The 15,858-nt window shown below is 37.0% G+C and overlaps 1 protein-coding gene across 13 annotated transcripts in view, besides 1 other annotated feature; it reads right to left on the minus strand.

Annotated features, from left to right (window-relative positions):
- Positions 1-15,858, minus strand: part of DIAPH3 (diaphanous related formin 3) — a 498,346-nt gene that overhangs the window by 124,457 nt on the left and 358,031 nt on the right. The gene's annotated exons all lie outside the window — the stretch shown is intronic.
- Positions 2,857-3,722: an enhancer, noted in NCBI's record as "OCT4-NANOG hESC enhancer chr13:60367030-60367895 (GRCh37/hg19 assembly coordinates)". NCBI's record gives its function as "activates a minimal SCP1, AML or CMV promoter by ChIP-STARR-seq in naive and primed H9 embryonic stem cells {active_cell/tissue: H9 hESC(naive and primed)}" and the evidence as "EXISTENCE:reporter gene assay evidence [ECO:0000049][PMID:30033119]".

Below are 15,858 nucleotides of genomic sequence, written 5' to 3' on the forward strand. Positions count from 1 at the left end.
CAATTCTACAAAGATACACTAAGGACTACGTGTCAGGCACTGAACTAGCCCCAGCCCTTGTTCCCATGGGACTTAAATGTAAGAGCAAGTTCAACACATAATTAATGACTACCTGTATGACGAATGTTACACAAAATAAATCAGGGTGCTATGAAATTGCTTAATACTGAGGCAATAGAGGTGAAGAGCTATAGCTATGGTTGCCTAGTGATGATTCCAGGGGTTATTCTTTGATACCTGGATTTTTACTTAAATTTCTGAAGATATGTTTTATTTGTACCTTAAACACAGAACCATATAGATATCACAGTAAACTGTGGAAACCTGTGTATTCTCATTTTGAGCTTTAAGGGTTAAAGCCCATCTCACTGCTGCCAACCTTGCACAAAGTAATTTTTACCAGGCTCAAGTTCTTTGTTCATTTCTAACATAAACTTTGTGTTCAAAGTACTATAAGTATTCATTACCTTTGTTTCATTTTAAAGGAGAAATGCAGATTTATTCTGCCCAAATATAATGTCCTTCCTTATTCCTTCCACAGTGAGATGTAGCATCCCATTAGTATTAAACACAGAGGAAATTTTAAAATCCTATTCAGAATAACAGCAACATTGTTTTGAAAAGGAGGAAGTCAGCAAGGAGAATAAGGCAAATCTGAATGAGTGAAAATTGGTGAAGAAAAAGAATTGACATATGCTTTCAGAAGAAAGCAAGTATGAGAAAAATGAAAGAGGAGACAACTGAACTTTCAATGAACTCATTAACAATTGTAAAAAAACTGGAGGCAAAAATGTGCTACAGTCTCAAGAGAACAATGAAAGACTCCCTCCCCCCGCTCCACAACTATAAAAAGCTGACAAAATGAATACACGAGCCCCACAGTAAAAGCTGATATTAGGTAACTTTGAGAACAACTTTATTTTATTTTTATTTATTTATTTTTTTGAAAGAGATGAGTCTGTCTCTGTTGCCCTAGGCTGGAGAGTGCAGTGGCACAATCATAGCTCGCTATAATAATCTCAAACTCCTGGGCTCAAAGGATCCTCCTGCTAAAGCCTCCTGAGTACCTGAGACTATACCATGCCCAAGTAATTAAAAAAAATTTTGTTTTATAAAGACAGGATCTCACTATATTGCTCAGGATGGTCTCAAACTCCTGGCCTCATGCAATCCTCCCACCTCAGCCTACCAAAGTGTTGGGATTACGGGTGTGAGCCATCATTCCTGGTCAAGAACAGTTTTATTTAGGAAACAAGAGATACATAAAATAAAGAATAAAAAATTTAAATATGAATTAAGACACACTAGGAACTATCACTTTGATTGAATGCCTATGTGCTAGAGTCTGTATGGAACATTTTACCTAGATTTTCTAATTTAATTCTCACTCCCCTCTTTCAAAGTAGCTATTATCTAATCCATTTTAAAGTTAGGGAACTTGGAGCTCAAAAAGGTAAAGTAAGGTGCCCAAAGCCCTGCCATAGGGTGGTAGCAGAGGGGAGATTTGATATCTTTCTGATTCTAAAGCTCATTCTTTCCACTATAGACTTTTATTGAGAGAGGTGTTACATGAAAATTGATAACTATTCAGATCCTTAGGTTTGCTGACTTATATTTAAAGGTGTTTTAGGAAATGCTTTAAGGCACAAAGAGGTAGTAGCTTTCAGAGCAGGAAACAGGAGCAGGCAAGCACAAGCTCGTTTCCCCAAATTCGACGGGAGCTTTCTCCCAGAATCTGACAATAAGAGAGATGCAGGTCATTCACAGATGCTCCTTCCTCAGAGAGAAAGACCAGAAACACTCCTCCTCCTGAGACCAGGAGTATCTGAAAATATTAGAATTACTTCAATCTGCCATGGCCTCCTGACTCCTCCTTTCAACCTAGCCACTGGGGATTGCTGTAGTTGGGCTAAAACTTTGAAGGCAGCTAAACCACCATCACCATCATTCTTAGACAACAGTGTCCTTCTGATCTTTATTTCCTCCAGCATTATTAGCATGAACAATCTCTCTACTACCTCAATTTCTTCACCATACACTCCTTTCACCTCGTTCTCTTAATTGAAAATGGGCTCTACTTGGAAACTGGACAGATGATCTCTGCTCACCCCTTCTGGTAGATGTTGCTTGTTCCCCTCCTATCTCACGTGCTTAAAGTCTGCAGGGCACAGGTGGAGGACATGGGAATGTCTGCTTTCTCCTTGATCAAAGCTGCTATGTCAGGCTGTCACTTTTTTTTCCTCATGTAAAAAGCACCCGCCTTTGAGACACATGTCATTCAGTTACACTGCTGCCATCCCTCTGGGTCACTGTCATCTAATCACGCACAAGTCTACCCTCTCATTCAGAATAAACTGTCAATTGAGTCAGTCTTCCTCATCAGGCCAGGCTCTGCCATCATCTTGTGAGAATTCAGTTTAATGTTAATATCTAATCCAACACCAGGTCCTAAGAGTTCCTTGACCTCCTCCTCTCCAGGGAGCAATCCCTTCTACTTCCCATCACCGACTTCCTTGGCCATAATCGAAATCTTGTCACTACCCAGAGCTGTTTTACTTCCAATAACTTGAATTCATACAACCATTTTCTGACCCATGTCCTTTTCCTCTCTCTCTTTTCCTGTCATCTACCCATGAAAATCTCCAATGCCCTGGCACCACTGTTTTCATATCCTTGACTATCTAGTTTAGACTCTGTGGTGCATCACTTTGACCATGGTTCACACGCTGGTATCTTACTTCCCTCCTTCATTCTCCTACTTTTTCAGACTCCCACTAAAATGTAAATAAGCCCCAAACTCCATCTTCTTGGCATTACTCCAGATGCTGAGTAGTGCCGGTAAGAAACAATACCACAGGATCTGAACTAGTACATATGTGCAACTGCTACCTCAATTGGATTCTTAATGCTATTCAGCACTCCTCTGTGTTTCATCAGGAGGCTCTCCCACTCCCTGAGAGGGTTTACATGCTTACACACTTCACTCAAGCCTCCCAACCAACCATGGCCCTTCCTCTGCAAAGGCCTTCCTTTTAGATAGAAAACAGGAACCACTTGATGAAAGCTTCCTTAACTTCCCACCATCAAACCTACAAATGTATCTGCACTTAGGCCCAACATTTCCTCCTTTCAATCTATCACAATGGCAGAGCATGTGGATTTCCAAGACAATTTCCTCTACCTGTGCTAGTATCTTGTTGTTCTCCACCCCTCCTGCCGCCCTCAGAAGTTTACTCCATTGATTGTCATTCTCTTCCAATTGCCCTCCTTTCTCATTCCTCCCAGTCTGCATTTAAACAAATTAAAACACCTGCTTTGTCCTCCCCTTTGACTTCTAAATCCCCTGTAGTTACTACCCTTTCTTACTCATATCTCAGTCTCATCTCCCATATTCATTCATTAACTCTTTACGCTATTCTTTGAGCTAAAGTCAATGGGATGGCTGTTAGTTCATTACATGATTCTTTAGCAGTATTTGATTGTGTTGACTACCCATTCCTTTTTGAAATGGTCTCTTCCTTGGGCTTCATGATACCAGACTTTCTTGGTCTTCCTACTACTTTCATGTGACTCCCTTGTCAAGGTCCTCTTCTGGGATCTTCTTACTCTGCTCATTCTTACACCATTCCTTGAATTTTCCATTGGTGTTTTATTCATTCCATGGCTTCATTTACTGAAAACTCCCAAGTTTTTATCACCAGCAACAAGCGCTATTCCTGAGTTCCAACTAGGGTGACCAACCATCCTGACTTGCAAGACTAAGGGGTTTCCTGGAACACAGGACTTTCAGTGATAAAACTGGGAGAATTAGGCAATCTGGGATGTGTTGGTCATACTAGCCCCTTCCTACTCACTAGACATGGTAACCTGGATGTCCTAGAGATACCTCAAATATAATACAGACTGTTCCCAACTTACAATTTTTTGACTTTACAATCAAGCAAAGCAATACACATTCAACAGAAACTGTACTTGACTACCCATACAACCATTGTCTGTATTCAATAAATTACATGAGATATTCAATACTTGATTACAAAATAGGTTCTGTGTTATATGATTTTGCCCAGCTGTAGGCTACTATAAGTGTTCTGGAATGTTTTAGGTAGGCTAGGCTAAGCTATGATGTTTGGTAGGTTTAGGTATATTAAATGCAGCTTTGACTTAAAATATTTCCAAATTATGATGGGTTTATCTGGACATAACCCCATCAAAAGTTGAGGTGCATCTGTATATACAAACTTGAATTACCATTTTCCCCAAACCTCTACCTCTTATTGTGTCCCTTATCTCAGTGAATGGCACCACCTACTCATGTCAAAACACTATGAGTCCTTTTTAACAACTGTTGAAGGTAAATATAATAGAAGGATTTCTGTATCCCTAAGCACTGAGTTTCCAGTTACATTTCCTATTAGGGGAATATTCAATAGGATTCTTATATAGCCTGTCAGCAATTTCAAATCTTCTTTAGTGAAAAAAAAAAAATTAAAAAATGTATCATTCATTTGAAAAGTTACAGATCTGTTGGATAGTGCCAGTGGTGCAAGATTTTTTTCTTCAATGCCACATCCTTCTACTGTCCAAGTTCTGATGCGAATTTTGATCACTATCTAATCCACTATAAATATCATTTATTTATTTATTTTTATCGAGGCAGGGTCTCATTGTGTGGCCCAGACTGGTCTCAAACTCCTGGCCTCAAGAGATCCTCCCACCTCAGCCTCCCAAAGTGCTGGGATTACAGGAACCAGCTACCATGCCCAGCCTAGTATAAATATTCTTCTTTAAACATTTTGGAATATTTCTAACATGCTGTTTAGGAATGATTAATTTTCCTTCCCAATAAGCTGAAAGAAAGACATGTTCCTCAAGCAATGAAACTCTGGAAAACAATTTGTATTAACTTGTGAATGCCTCAGTCTGCAAGACATAGTACATGCTTTGTAGGTCATTAGGAAACAAAATGGTTGTCTTTCATAGTTCATTCTGTAAATGGCCTGTGGGCCGCAGTTAGCTCCACACATCTCCTCACTCTGTGTGGGCTCCATCAAATATTGCCTTTAAATTTGCCTGGACAACTGCACAAAGGAGAATGAACGAAAGCTTCAGATTAAGAATGTACGAGAAGCACAAGACGCAAGACTCTTCAGGCCAAAGGAAGTAAGACAAAAAAGTGACTTCATGGTGCTCTGGGTTATTATATTTATATTTCTTCATCTTCATTCAGCATGAGACAGTAGATAGGCTGATAATATAATGAAAAATTAAGACTAAATTTCAGGAAGAACTATCTGAAAAGAAATCATTATTACTATAGGGCCTGGCCACCAAGGAAAATGGCATCCTTTCCCTTCTCTTGAATTTAAGGAGATGCTTCTGTCCCAGGGAATTTAGGTATATCATTCTCTCTCTCTTTTTTTTTTTTTTTTTGAGATGGAGTCTCGCTCTCCCGCCCAGGCTGGAGTGCAGTGGCGTGATCTCAGCTCACTGCGAGCTCCGCCTCCGGGTTCACACCATTCTCCTGCCTCAGCCTCCTGAGTAGCTGGGACTACAGGTGGCCGCCACCATTCCAGGCTATTTTTTTTTATTTTTAATAGACACAGGGTTTCACTGTGCGTGCTAAGATGGTCTCGATCTCCTGACCTCGTGATCCACCTGCCTCAGCCTCCCAAAGTGCTGGGATTACAGGCGTGAAACACTGCGCCTGGCCAGGTATGTCATTCTTGAACTGGGTGGCTTGCTATGGTTTCACAACTTAAAGTTTGTTACTAGACAAACAGTTACAGACATATTCTCCATTGCTCAATGTATTTTTCTAAGCTCATGCTTACCATTTCCACCCGCTTGCCAGCCATCTTGTGACCACATTTGTACATATTAGTGCTTTCATCAGGGGGTAAGTGCATCAATAAGAGGAGAAGTTGAAATTAGATTAGTTAATTTGCTACTTCATTAACAGCTGTGGTAAAAAGTCCAAGGAGAAAAAAGATTGAAACTAGCTAAAATGAGGGGTTTGTATTGTAAGTGAATCTAAATTATCTATGTCCCCTATTCCTGCGGATAACTGAGAGTCAGCTGTGCACACATCTGTGGGTGTTTATAAACATTTACCATCTGTGAGAAGCTTATGGGGCGTAAATGGTGGGCTAATTAGTGAAATGCTAGTCATTTCTAATGACAGTTGTTATGGATAAAGATTTTATCCAGGTTAAATTGATCTCAGAACCTCGATCACGGGAGGCCACTCTACCTTTTATGACAAGACTAAGTAGTTACACTATGCTGAACATGTCACACATTAAGGATGCACCATAACTAGATTAGACTGCTAGTTTATGCATGTTAATGAGCTCTGTTCTTAATAGACTGAAGTGTGGATTGAGTATTTGTCAGGGAAAATGAGAAGTTGTCAGTCTGTTGAAAGGTCAACCATTTCTATAGTAAGACATTTTCATTTCTGTTCTACAAATATATTAAGTACCTTCCATTCAGAAAATTAAGAGCATAGACAGAAAACTATGAGATTCATAAATGAAAAGAGTTGTCCATATACATACACACATATGTGCATACAGATATATTTCCCTAACTTCACCATATCAGTAACTTTTTCTAAACATATCTTTTACTGATCCATATTGTGGGCAAACATTCTAAACAGGTAATTTTAAACTAAATTCATCCTATAACCAAAGGGGGGAAAAAAACCATACTGTATAAGAAGAGAGTCATATTTACTGTGTAATAAAAAGTATCTTAAAGTAGAGATTATGTTGTAAAAGAGGACAGTGTCATAGAACAAGTGAGTGGAAGAGTAGGCAAAACTTCATTCCTTGGGTTCTAATAAAGTTTGTTATTAATTTACAGAATACAAATGGAATTTTCCAAATTAGAAGGAATCTTATTGTGTAGATAAGGAGAATTATGGTCTGAAGCTAACTGGCCTGCTATTACTTAGCTACTGGTGGAGCAGGGACTGGAATACTGATAACCCAACTCCTAAACCTTAGCACCAAACATTTCATGACACCACTATTAACAGAGAATAGCAATATTGTATATAATGTCAATAGTTTTAGTAAATGAAAAAAAAACACCCTATGTAAAATGTCACTCCTTCCCACACTTTCTATCCCCCCATCCCTACTTTATTTTGTTCTCCTTATAAGTTGTGGACTTCTAATGCTGTTTATTTATCTTAAATGTTGTCTGTCTCCTGCCAGAATATATGCCCATGAGGGCCGGGACACTCGCTTGTTTTATTTTCTGCTGTACCCCTAGTGCCTAGGATAGTATCATGACATAATATGCGATAAATAAATATTTGCTGAAAGAAAGTTTTGATAGAAATACTTTTTTTCACCATCACACTAATAATTCTGCTAATGAAGGAAGTATTTCAATGCCCATTTTTATAATTTCTTTTGTCAGAAATTTAATGGTCACAAAAGCAAATCACACAGGAGCCTTGGGAATGTCTTTCAGAATGTTAGATAAGGTGTAATTAGTACCTAATGAAAAAACAATAACCAAATACTGACTACAACAATATCACCTGCCAGCAAAATAAACGAATGCAGACTTCAATAATGAGAATCCTAGAGCCTTGGAACTGAATGTTTGGGCTAGTTTTAGATGAAGAGGAAGGAGTGGGACTGACCTGTTTTCCTTCAAGGGGATAATGGGACACATTCTCTCCATTGCCCTACCTGAACCCCATGCCTCAGATTCTCCAGGAAAGGGCCACCTCCAGCTTATCCTCATGAGCTAAACATGGTTTATTTTCAGAGGTTCTCGGTTAATCTAGCTACAAAAACTTGCAAAGTTGTCTTTATTAACAAATTTGTTTTTATTTTCCTCTATGAAAGAAGTTAATAGTTACTGTGCAGATGTTGTGTTTCTTACCCTATGCCAGGCCCATTCAGGTAAAAAACACTCCCAAGATTAAAAAGCCTTTAAATTGGAGATGTAAAATCTATGTGTTCTAAAGCTGGTAGGAGCAGCATCACCTACCTGTTCATGAAGTATTCTCCCTGTCTCCCCACACCCAATCCACTAGAAAGCCCCATTGATTCTGCCTCTAAACTGCCTTTCAAATCCATCCTGTCTTCTCTTTTCAGTGCATCCTAGTTCAGGTCTTCTACATTTATCTCTTGCAAAATTGCAAGTGTCCTAATTAGTCTCATTCCTCCTAGTCCCAACACCCTCTGATCCATCTGCGTTTTTGCTACAGAGCCATTTCTCTAAAAGCAAATCATATCACTGCTCTGTTTAATGCCCTTGAAATGTGCCTACAAAATAAAGCAAAAAAAAAATTCAAAGCATAGCATGGTTTCTTGACTTCCAATTTAGCATCATTTCTGCCCATAGTTCTACCCAAAGATCAATCAGGCCTGCTACATTACTGGTTAGTCCATATATAAATGTCACACCTCTGTATCTGAATTTACTTAGCCCATTGGATGCCCAGGCACAGAAACTCTGGCCCTTCATTTCACTGTGTTCATTTGGTATCCACCTAATTCAAGATTCCACATTTCAAAGGAACAACAAAGGTAGTCTTTTCCACATTTACTGCTCAGATGTCAATCCATCCTCCTCTCTCCCACCCCAATGTGAGAGCCAAAGGATCATTCTTAGTACAGGAACCACCCATGTAGCAGAAAATGCACACCACATTCTTAGGCTCTGAACAGAAAAGATGCCCCCATCTGGTGGAAGAGAAATTGGAAGTGAGATTACATGCAGTGCAGTAGCCCTGCGCATTCATCCCAGGAGGAAGTGGCGCATATTGGGTAGACTTTCCTAGGAAGTTACAGAGAGTTGAGTCCAAGAGTGGAGGTGTCTTGTGTCCAACATGCAGAATTGTTGAGAATGGGCTAAGGAAACAAGATTAGGGTACAAGAAGGCTGCAGAAGCACCACAAGAAGCTGAGTGCTGTGGTTGAAGCACAGTAATTTCCTATGCATCCTGCCTGGGGAAGAAAAAAAAAGTTCACTAAGAAAGAGCACGAGTGCAAGAGAAGAATGTTTCCAAGAATCATTAACATAAGGAAGCCAAGGAGGGAACTAAGAGAAATCCAATTGTTCTATTTGGTTACCATTCAAAGGCAAACCAGTGATCACCTTTACCACAAGCAGACAGGAGGAATGATGCCAAAGCAGGGAGGCTGTTATGGACGTAGATGCCAACTGAACCAGAAAGAGGGCATATGCACAGAAGGGTGGCCGAAGCTGGCTTCCTTCATCGAAGGAAGAAGGGAGATAAGAAGAGATCATGGAAGGGAATTTCAAACACAAATAACAACTCTCTACTGAAATTACTGGAAATATGCACACACACACACACACACACACACACACACACACACACACACACAGAAGGAGAATTGACTACATTGTTAACCATCAGGTAGGCTGATGACTCAGTCATAAATTAAACTGCATTTATAGAAATAGTTATATCTCTGCATATCTGAACTTGCTGTCCTAACTATGAAATTCCCCGTTTGTTACCAAAAGTATAAGAGCACATAAAACAAACTTGACATATGTCATATCTTGTCCTAGGATTGTGCCAATCTATTTTATGGGGTCTGCATAAATAGAACATGTACAGTTGAGGAGTTTTTGTCCCACAAATGTGAATTCCATAAATATTTTTAAAGTGCTTATTAAACACCTGCTATGGAAAGAAATTAGAAGCAACAGCTCACTGTAAAAGATATTTTTTTGAACATGGTTAATTTTGATTAAAGGTTTTATTTTTGTAAGATTTATTATTGAGAAATAATGGCATGTTTGATCTTTATGAAAAGCAAATTTTTCATAGCAAAATCAAAATATTAACTGAAGTATCATTTAAAATGACTATAGTAAATGTTTCATATCATGTCCCTCCTTTCTTGTACTTTATTAAAGATTAATATTGAGTATCTAATTAATGAAATGAGATAAACACTTACTTCAAAAAGACTTCTTTTTGAAGTTTCTAGGAGGAATACACCAAATTGTCAAAACTTCTGTTTCAGAATCAGCTGACCTCAAATTGGAGCAGGCTAAAAACATGCACACAAGTGCGTGTGTACACGTACACATGCATCCTCCCCCATATAGAAACCCTCATTACTCATTAGTTAAGTTGTAATATATTCAGATGGAAAATTTTATCTCTAAGCGTTCCTCAGTTTCTAAGAATGGTAAACACCATGAGATATATTTTCCCCTTCTTTTCTTACCTTTCCCTTTTTAGAACTGATAAAAGATGACTGAGTTCATATCCTACTTATATCAAAGTGCAATGCTTTAGGAATAGGACAGTATCAAGCATAAAATGGGAATTATCTCATAGGGAAGAGGAAGATGTGAAAAACAACACTCCTTCCGAAGATTTCCCCATCACATGAGTGTAGCAATTCTGAACAAAGCTTGACATCATTTGGGTTCTTCTAATATTTTCTGGGCAGAGAAGAACGTTTCTTTAATTTCCCACAATGCCTCCAAATATAACATTAAGACATTTTATGCTCAATCTCGGCAGATATCATGATTTAGGAAACAGCATTTCCTCAGACTGCAATGCTATTTACCTTAATGATAGAATCAATTAGAATACAGTATAATCCAAACGACATGTTTCCTCAGACCAAATTCCTTCAGAATCCCATGGAACGGGTCTCTGAAAGTTTGTCTATGGGTAGTGGGAGCAGAACTAGCATCTTTGCTCAAGTGTGAACGGTATTTCCAACGATCATAAACAATATTTTCATCTACCAAAGCCAAAATCACAGAGTACAATTAACAGAGTCACAGCAAAATGGTAAAATAATCTGTTAAAATAGTTAATACATTTATTTTTTATCTAATAAAAGTATCCCATGCGTTCAAGAAATAATGAGTGACTACTATCAAAAGGCACTGTCCTTTTTTTGAGAGAAGAGCATTAGTGTTCCATATCAAACCATAAAATAAATAATAAAGGATAAAGGTTTTAAAAAAGTACTTTTATTCACACGTGAATCCAGCAGAAAGTACAATCTAATTAGCCTTGAAAACATCCACTGAAAATCAGAGATCATAATTGCAATTCAGCACTAATAGAATCATTACTTCTGAAATATATCTGAAATGCAGCAAAAAGACTTTTTCTTAGTTCTTGGCCTTTGAATTAAAATAATCTTTTGTTCCCCAAGCAAACAATCTTCTTGACTTTGTAACACTTGAAGGCTACTTTGCAGTTAAGTTAAAAAGAGGAACTGTCACACATTTAGAATCTTCAAACTAATTGCCACAGAATCAGTGTTGGAATGACTTTGGAGGGAATCTATCCAGTTTCCTAAAGCAGTGATCCTTTACACAACACTCATGAAAGCTAGTAATAGAACCTCAGATTCAGCACTAATTTTACAAGAGTTCCTGCCTGAATAGCACTAATAGTTTAAAAATAAACATTCAAAGGATTCTATTGAACTGAAATTACTGTCACTTATACCCATTAATGATAATTATTATTGGAAGTTCTATGATGGCAATTCACTCTAGTCAGGCAATGGTCTCCAAGAATTGCTTGCTCTAAAGACAGTCAGTCATCTATTTTCTGTTACTATGCTAGTCTGTCATATTCTTCCTGCCTTGGGGCATTCTAGCCTGTGTTAAGGCTGCCCTCATTGTTAACTCTGTTACTATCATATTGCTTATAATTCTCTTGAAAAACATTGGATATCTGAGGAAGGAAGCTATCCAGGAAACAATATTTTAAAATCCTATTACAAAATAATGTCTAATTTCATCTAAACACTAATGCCTATTTATACCATTTACATGTAACATATAAATATTCAATTTCTTTGCTTAATTTCCCCAGTCTGCCCTAGGGTATATTTATTCATCATCAAATGCCAAATACTACTGAGTTGTTTTTTTTCCCCCTCTTTGAGATAATCACTTTAGACTTTGAGCAACCTTCACGACCAAGTTCAACACCAATGAATAGATTTCCTTCAACTTTAAGGATTTAATGTCAGAATGACCCAAAATACAAAGAAAAGAGAGAACCTATTAATAAAAAAAGAAAAACCTGGCTCCACCTATGACCTTTTGACACACTGATATTTCCATCTTGAAAGATATACAAACAATACTATAGAAATACTGGGGTCTATAAGCTGGGCTAAAAGGATAAGAAGCACAATGGTTGTGCTAGATCGGTTGCTGAAACAATCAGCAGCCCAGATGCTTGCTAGCATTTCAAAAGTTCAACTGCATGACTTTCCATTTCAAATTAATAGATCTAAAAATCACACAATTCTCTGTAGCAAGAAATATGCCTAAAGATTAAGTTTTCTCTGACAATTATCATTAATTTTATCAATATATCAATTTTAATTAATTTACTTATCAATTATTATTTATTTATCAATTTATAAATATATCAATTTTATCAAAATAACAATAACTCATTATTTTTCAACACAGACTGGTCATTTTGCAAATGCATACTTTTGGCTATAGGAAGACAAGGAAAAGTTTTTTTTTTTTACTTCATGGTTTTTTTTTAATCTGTCTCTTAAAATCAAAGAACAGAGTCTATGACTTATTGATCTATATTATTATTATTATTATTATTATTTTTTTTTTTTTTTTTTTTTTTTTGAGACAGAGTCTCGCTCTGTCGCCCAGGCCGGACTGCGGACTGCAGTGGCGCAATCTCGGCTCACTGCAAGCTCCGCTTCGCGGGTTCACGCCATTCTCCTGCCTCAGCCTCCCGAGTAGCTGGGACTACAGGCGCCCGCCACCGCGCCCGGCTAATTTTTTTTTGTATTTTTAGTAGAGACGGGGTTTCACCTTGTTAGCCAGGATGGTCTCGATCTCCTGACCTCATGATCCACCCGCCTCGGCCTCCCAAAGTGCTGGGATTACAGGCGTGAGCCACCGCGCCCAGCCGATCTATATTATGAATCAGCAAAATTTTTCTGTGAAGGCCAGCTAACAAATATTTTAGGCTTTGTGGGATATATGGTTTATGTTGATTAGTGGAGACAGCTAAGGAGTATTGAATGTTACAGACAAAGAAGATGCAATGCTGTGATTGAGTTCTCAATTATAATACAATAAATGTGGCTGACATTATCAAAGTTACAGAGTTTTCCACATTGTGATAAGATCAAAAGAACTGATTGGTATGATTTTTTTGCCCTAGAATATGAACAGGGTGAAATTATGAATAAGTGATGTTAATATAAAGATTTCTTTGGTAAAATTCTTAGAGGTAGACCATGCTACACCTTAAAAATTTAAATTATTTTGCCTCAAATAAAGTTTATGAAAATTGGCATTTAATCTTTTATTCCCAGAGAAGTTAAACAACAAAAAGTGAAGTTCAGAATATAGTAAATACCATATTATAATAATATGAAAAACATTTTGAAAATGATTTTAAAATATTGGATGAGCAATAAACTAATTAGCATGAGGATATGCCACAAAAATGCTTAACAAGAGTGGCACTGATAACCCTCAAGAAAGTTTAAAAAGAAAGAAAGAAAAAGACAAAAGAAAAAAATAATCACTTTCAAATTAAGTTATGTTGGAAGTCTGAGAACCTCCTCTTTTCTGGGGCTTGTTGGAAGGGGACAAAGGATGGTGTGTGAGCCTTGTATAGCTGCATGGAGAAGACGCAAATTAGTGCACAAAGTGGTTGAACTCTGAATGAGTTTTCATAATTTAAGCTATGTTATTCCAGTGAAAGAGATGCCTGCACATAAGTGAAAAGCTGCCTAGTTAACTGACAGAGAGACTCTTGGAAAAATTTCCCACCAGACATTGCTTGCTACTATTTATGGAACAGAATTTCAGTTTCTTAATACCATCAGAAGGAAAAAATTGTTACATGGTACAGTTGGTGGACGTGGAAGAATGTCTCAGGGCACACATTACAAGTAAAGCACACAAAATGTTTGTGCCACTCCTAAAACCTACTATATTGCAAATTCTCTGGTTCCTTAACTTCTATTCTGAGTCAAACAATGAAAGTACTGAACACATTTCTACCTCCCTCAGAAAAGTTGACCTCTGGCAACTATGTTGGGTCAGAACTATTCAGAACATTGAAGAATCCCTCCTTTGACTGTGACAATCGCCCCAGAAGTTCCAAACACAAAGGGAAGACCACATGGCTTAAAACCACTGATTATGTTACCAAAGACATGACTGACCCTCTCACACATTTCCAGGGAAAATAATTCTCAATCTTCCTATATAGGTATAGTCTAGTGACAGTTACCACAATCATTTTGGTCCCTTTTTCCTGTACCATGGTTAAATCATCAGTGGTAAAATATAATAGCACAATAGTTAAAAATATGACCTCGTGAGAAGACTTGAGTACTGGCTTCATGGCTTGTTAAATCTGTGATCATGTGCAAGTAAATTAAACTTTTCGACATATAAAATAGTCTCATGAGTTTGTTATAAGTATTACATGTAATAATAAATATAGGCTGGCAAATAATATGTGATCAATAAATGCCAGCAGTAGTAGTAGCAGTTGTTGTTGTTGTTGTTGTTGTTACAATGTCTGTTCTATAAATGATGGAGTAAAGAAAAGAGAAATATATCCAAGCCAATGCAATTCCATTTGTTCTACCCTTCTATATCGAGAAATTACTAAAACTATTGGCTTATTTATATGCACCAATTGCCAATAACACTAAAAAACTGAAAGCATTACTGCACAAAACTAGAATATGGGCAATTATGGAAAGTAATCTAAGTTTTATGATATCTGTAGAAGACAGGGTAATTGTTAAAGCTTTTATGAAAGCAAGTACAAACGTTAATTGCATATCTGTTGAGATTGGCAGAGACATTCCGAAGTAGAATTTATGTAATATGCATTTCCTCTAAAATGGAGGCCTAATTGCTTAGTTATTCTAAATTGCAGAATGGAAAACAAAGGAGCAGTTTTGGCCATGTGGGTAAACAACAGATTTCTAAAAGCTAATTATCTCTTTATTTAATAGACTGAAGTTGCACCAAATGAGACATTTAAGTCTAATAAATAATAGACAAATTGTAACCTAAAGACTAAAATATAGGAGCTGCTCATACAGTTTTTATTGCTCCATTAAATAAGCTCTTATTTACTTCCCCCACAAAACATAATTACACAACACTGGGTCCATTTCAAGGCCATTTTGATCTGCTATTTAAAAATGATGTGAATCAACCTACATACTCAGGAAGTCTTAAAGCATAATATTGAATTCTGTTAGCAAATGCCCTATTTGTGTCCATGATTAAGAAACAGAAATGGAATTAAGAAAAAGTTGTGCATAATCACATAAAATTATTACTACTACTTGCCTTACTAGAAATGATTACACTTAAGAAGAGTTATGCATTTTAAATTAATAACCACTAGGGTCTATGCTTAGTAGTTTTCATGTCAGATGAATAGGTACTTTTTAAATTAAAATAGTTCAAACTCAAGCATCAACCTTAGACATTTACTCAAAATTTATATGTTGATTAAATAAAGACATCATGAAAATGTAACTTGCTTGTTTATGTAATACCAAAACATTCAACAGAAATAACCAAAACTGTGTATGTGAATATTTAAGAGACCTTCAGGTTCATCATTTAAAAAAAAATGAGAAAACAAAAACGAAAAACATCATGTTTTAACACTATAACATGAAAATAGGAGACTGCTTTCTTAGTTTGGTTGCTCAGAAGGATTTTTAATGCTTCATTTTTCTTCTTGGAGAAATTTAGTCCACTATTTTTATCTTTATTTTCATTCTATTAACAAAAATCACATTCTGAAATGATAGTGATAGTAAATAATAGTAGA

The sequence above is a fragment of the Homo sapiens genome, chromosome 13 (assembly GCF_000001405.40).
Source record: "Homo sapiens chromosome 13, GRCh38.p14 Primary Assembly".
Classification (NCBI taxonomy): domain Eukaryota; kingdom Metazoa; phylum Chordata; class Mammalia; order Primates; family Hominidae; genus Homo; species Homo sapiens.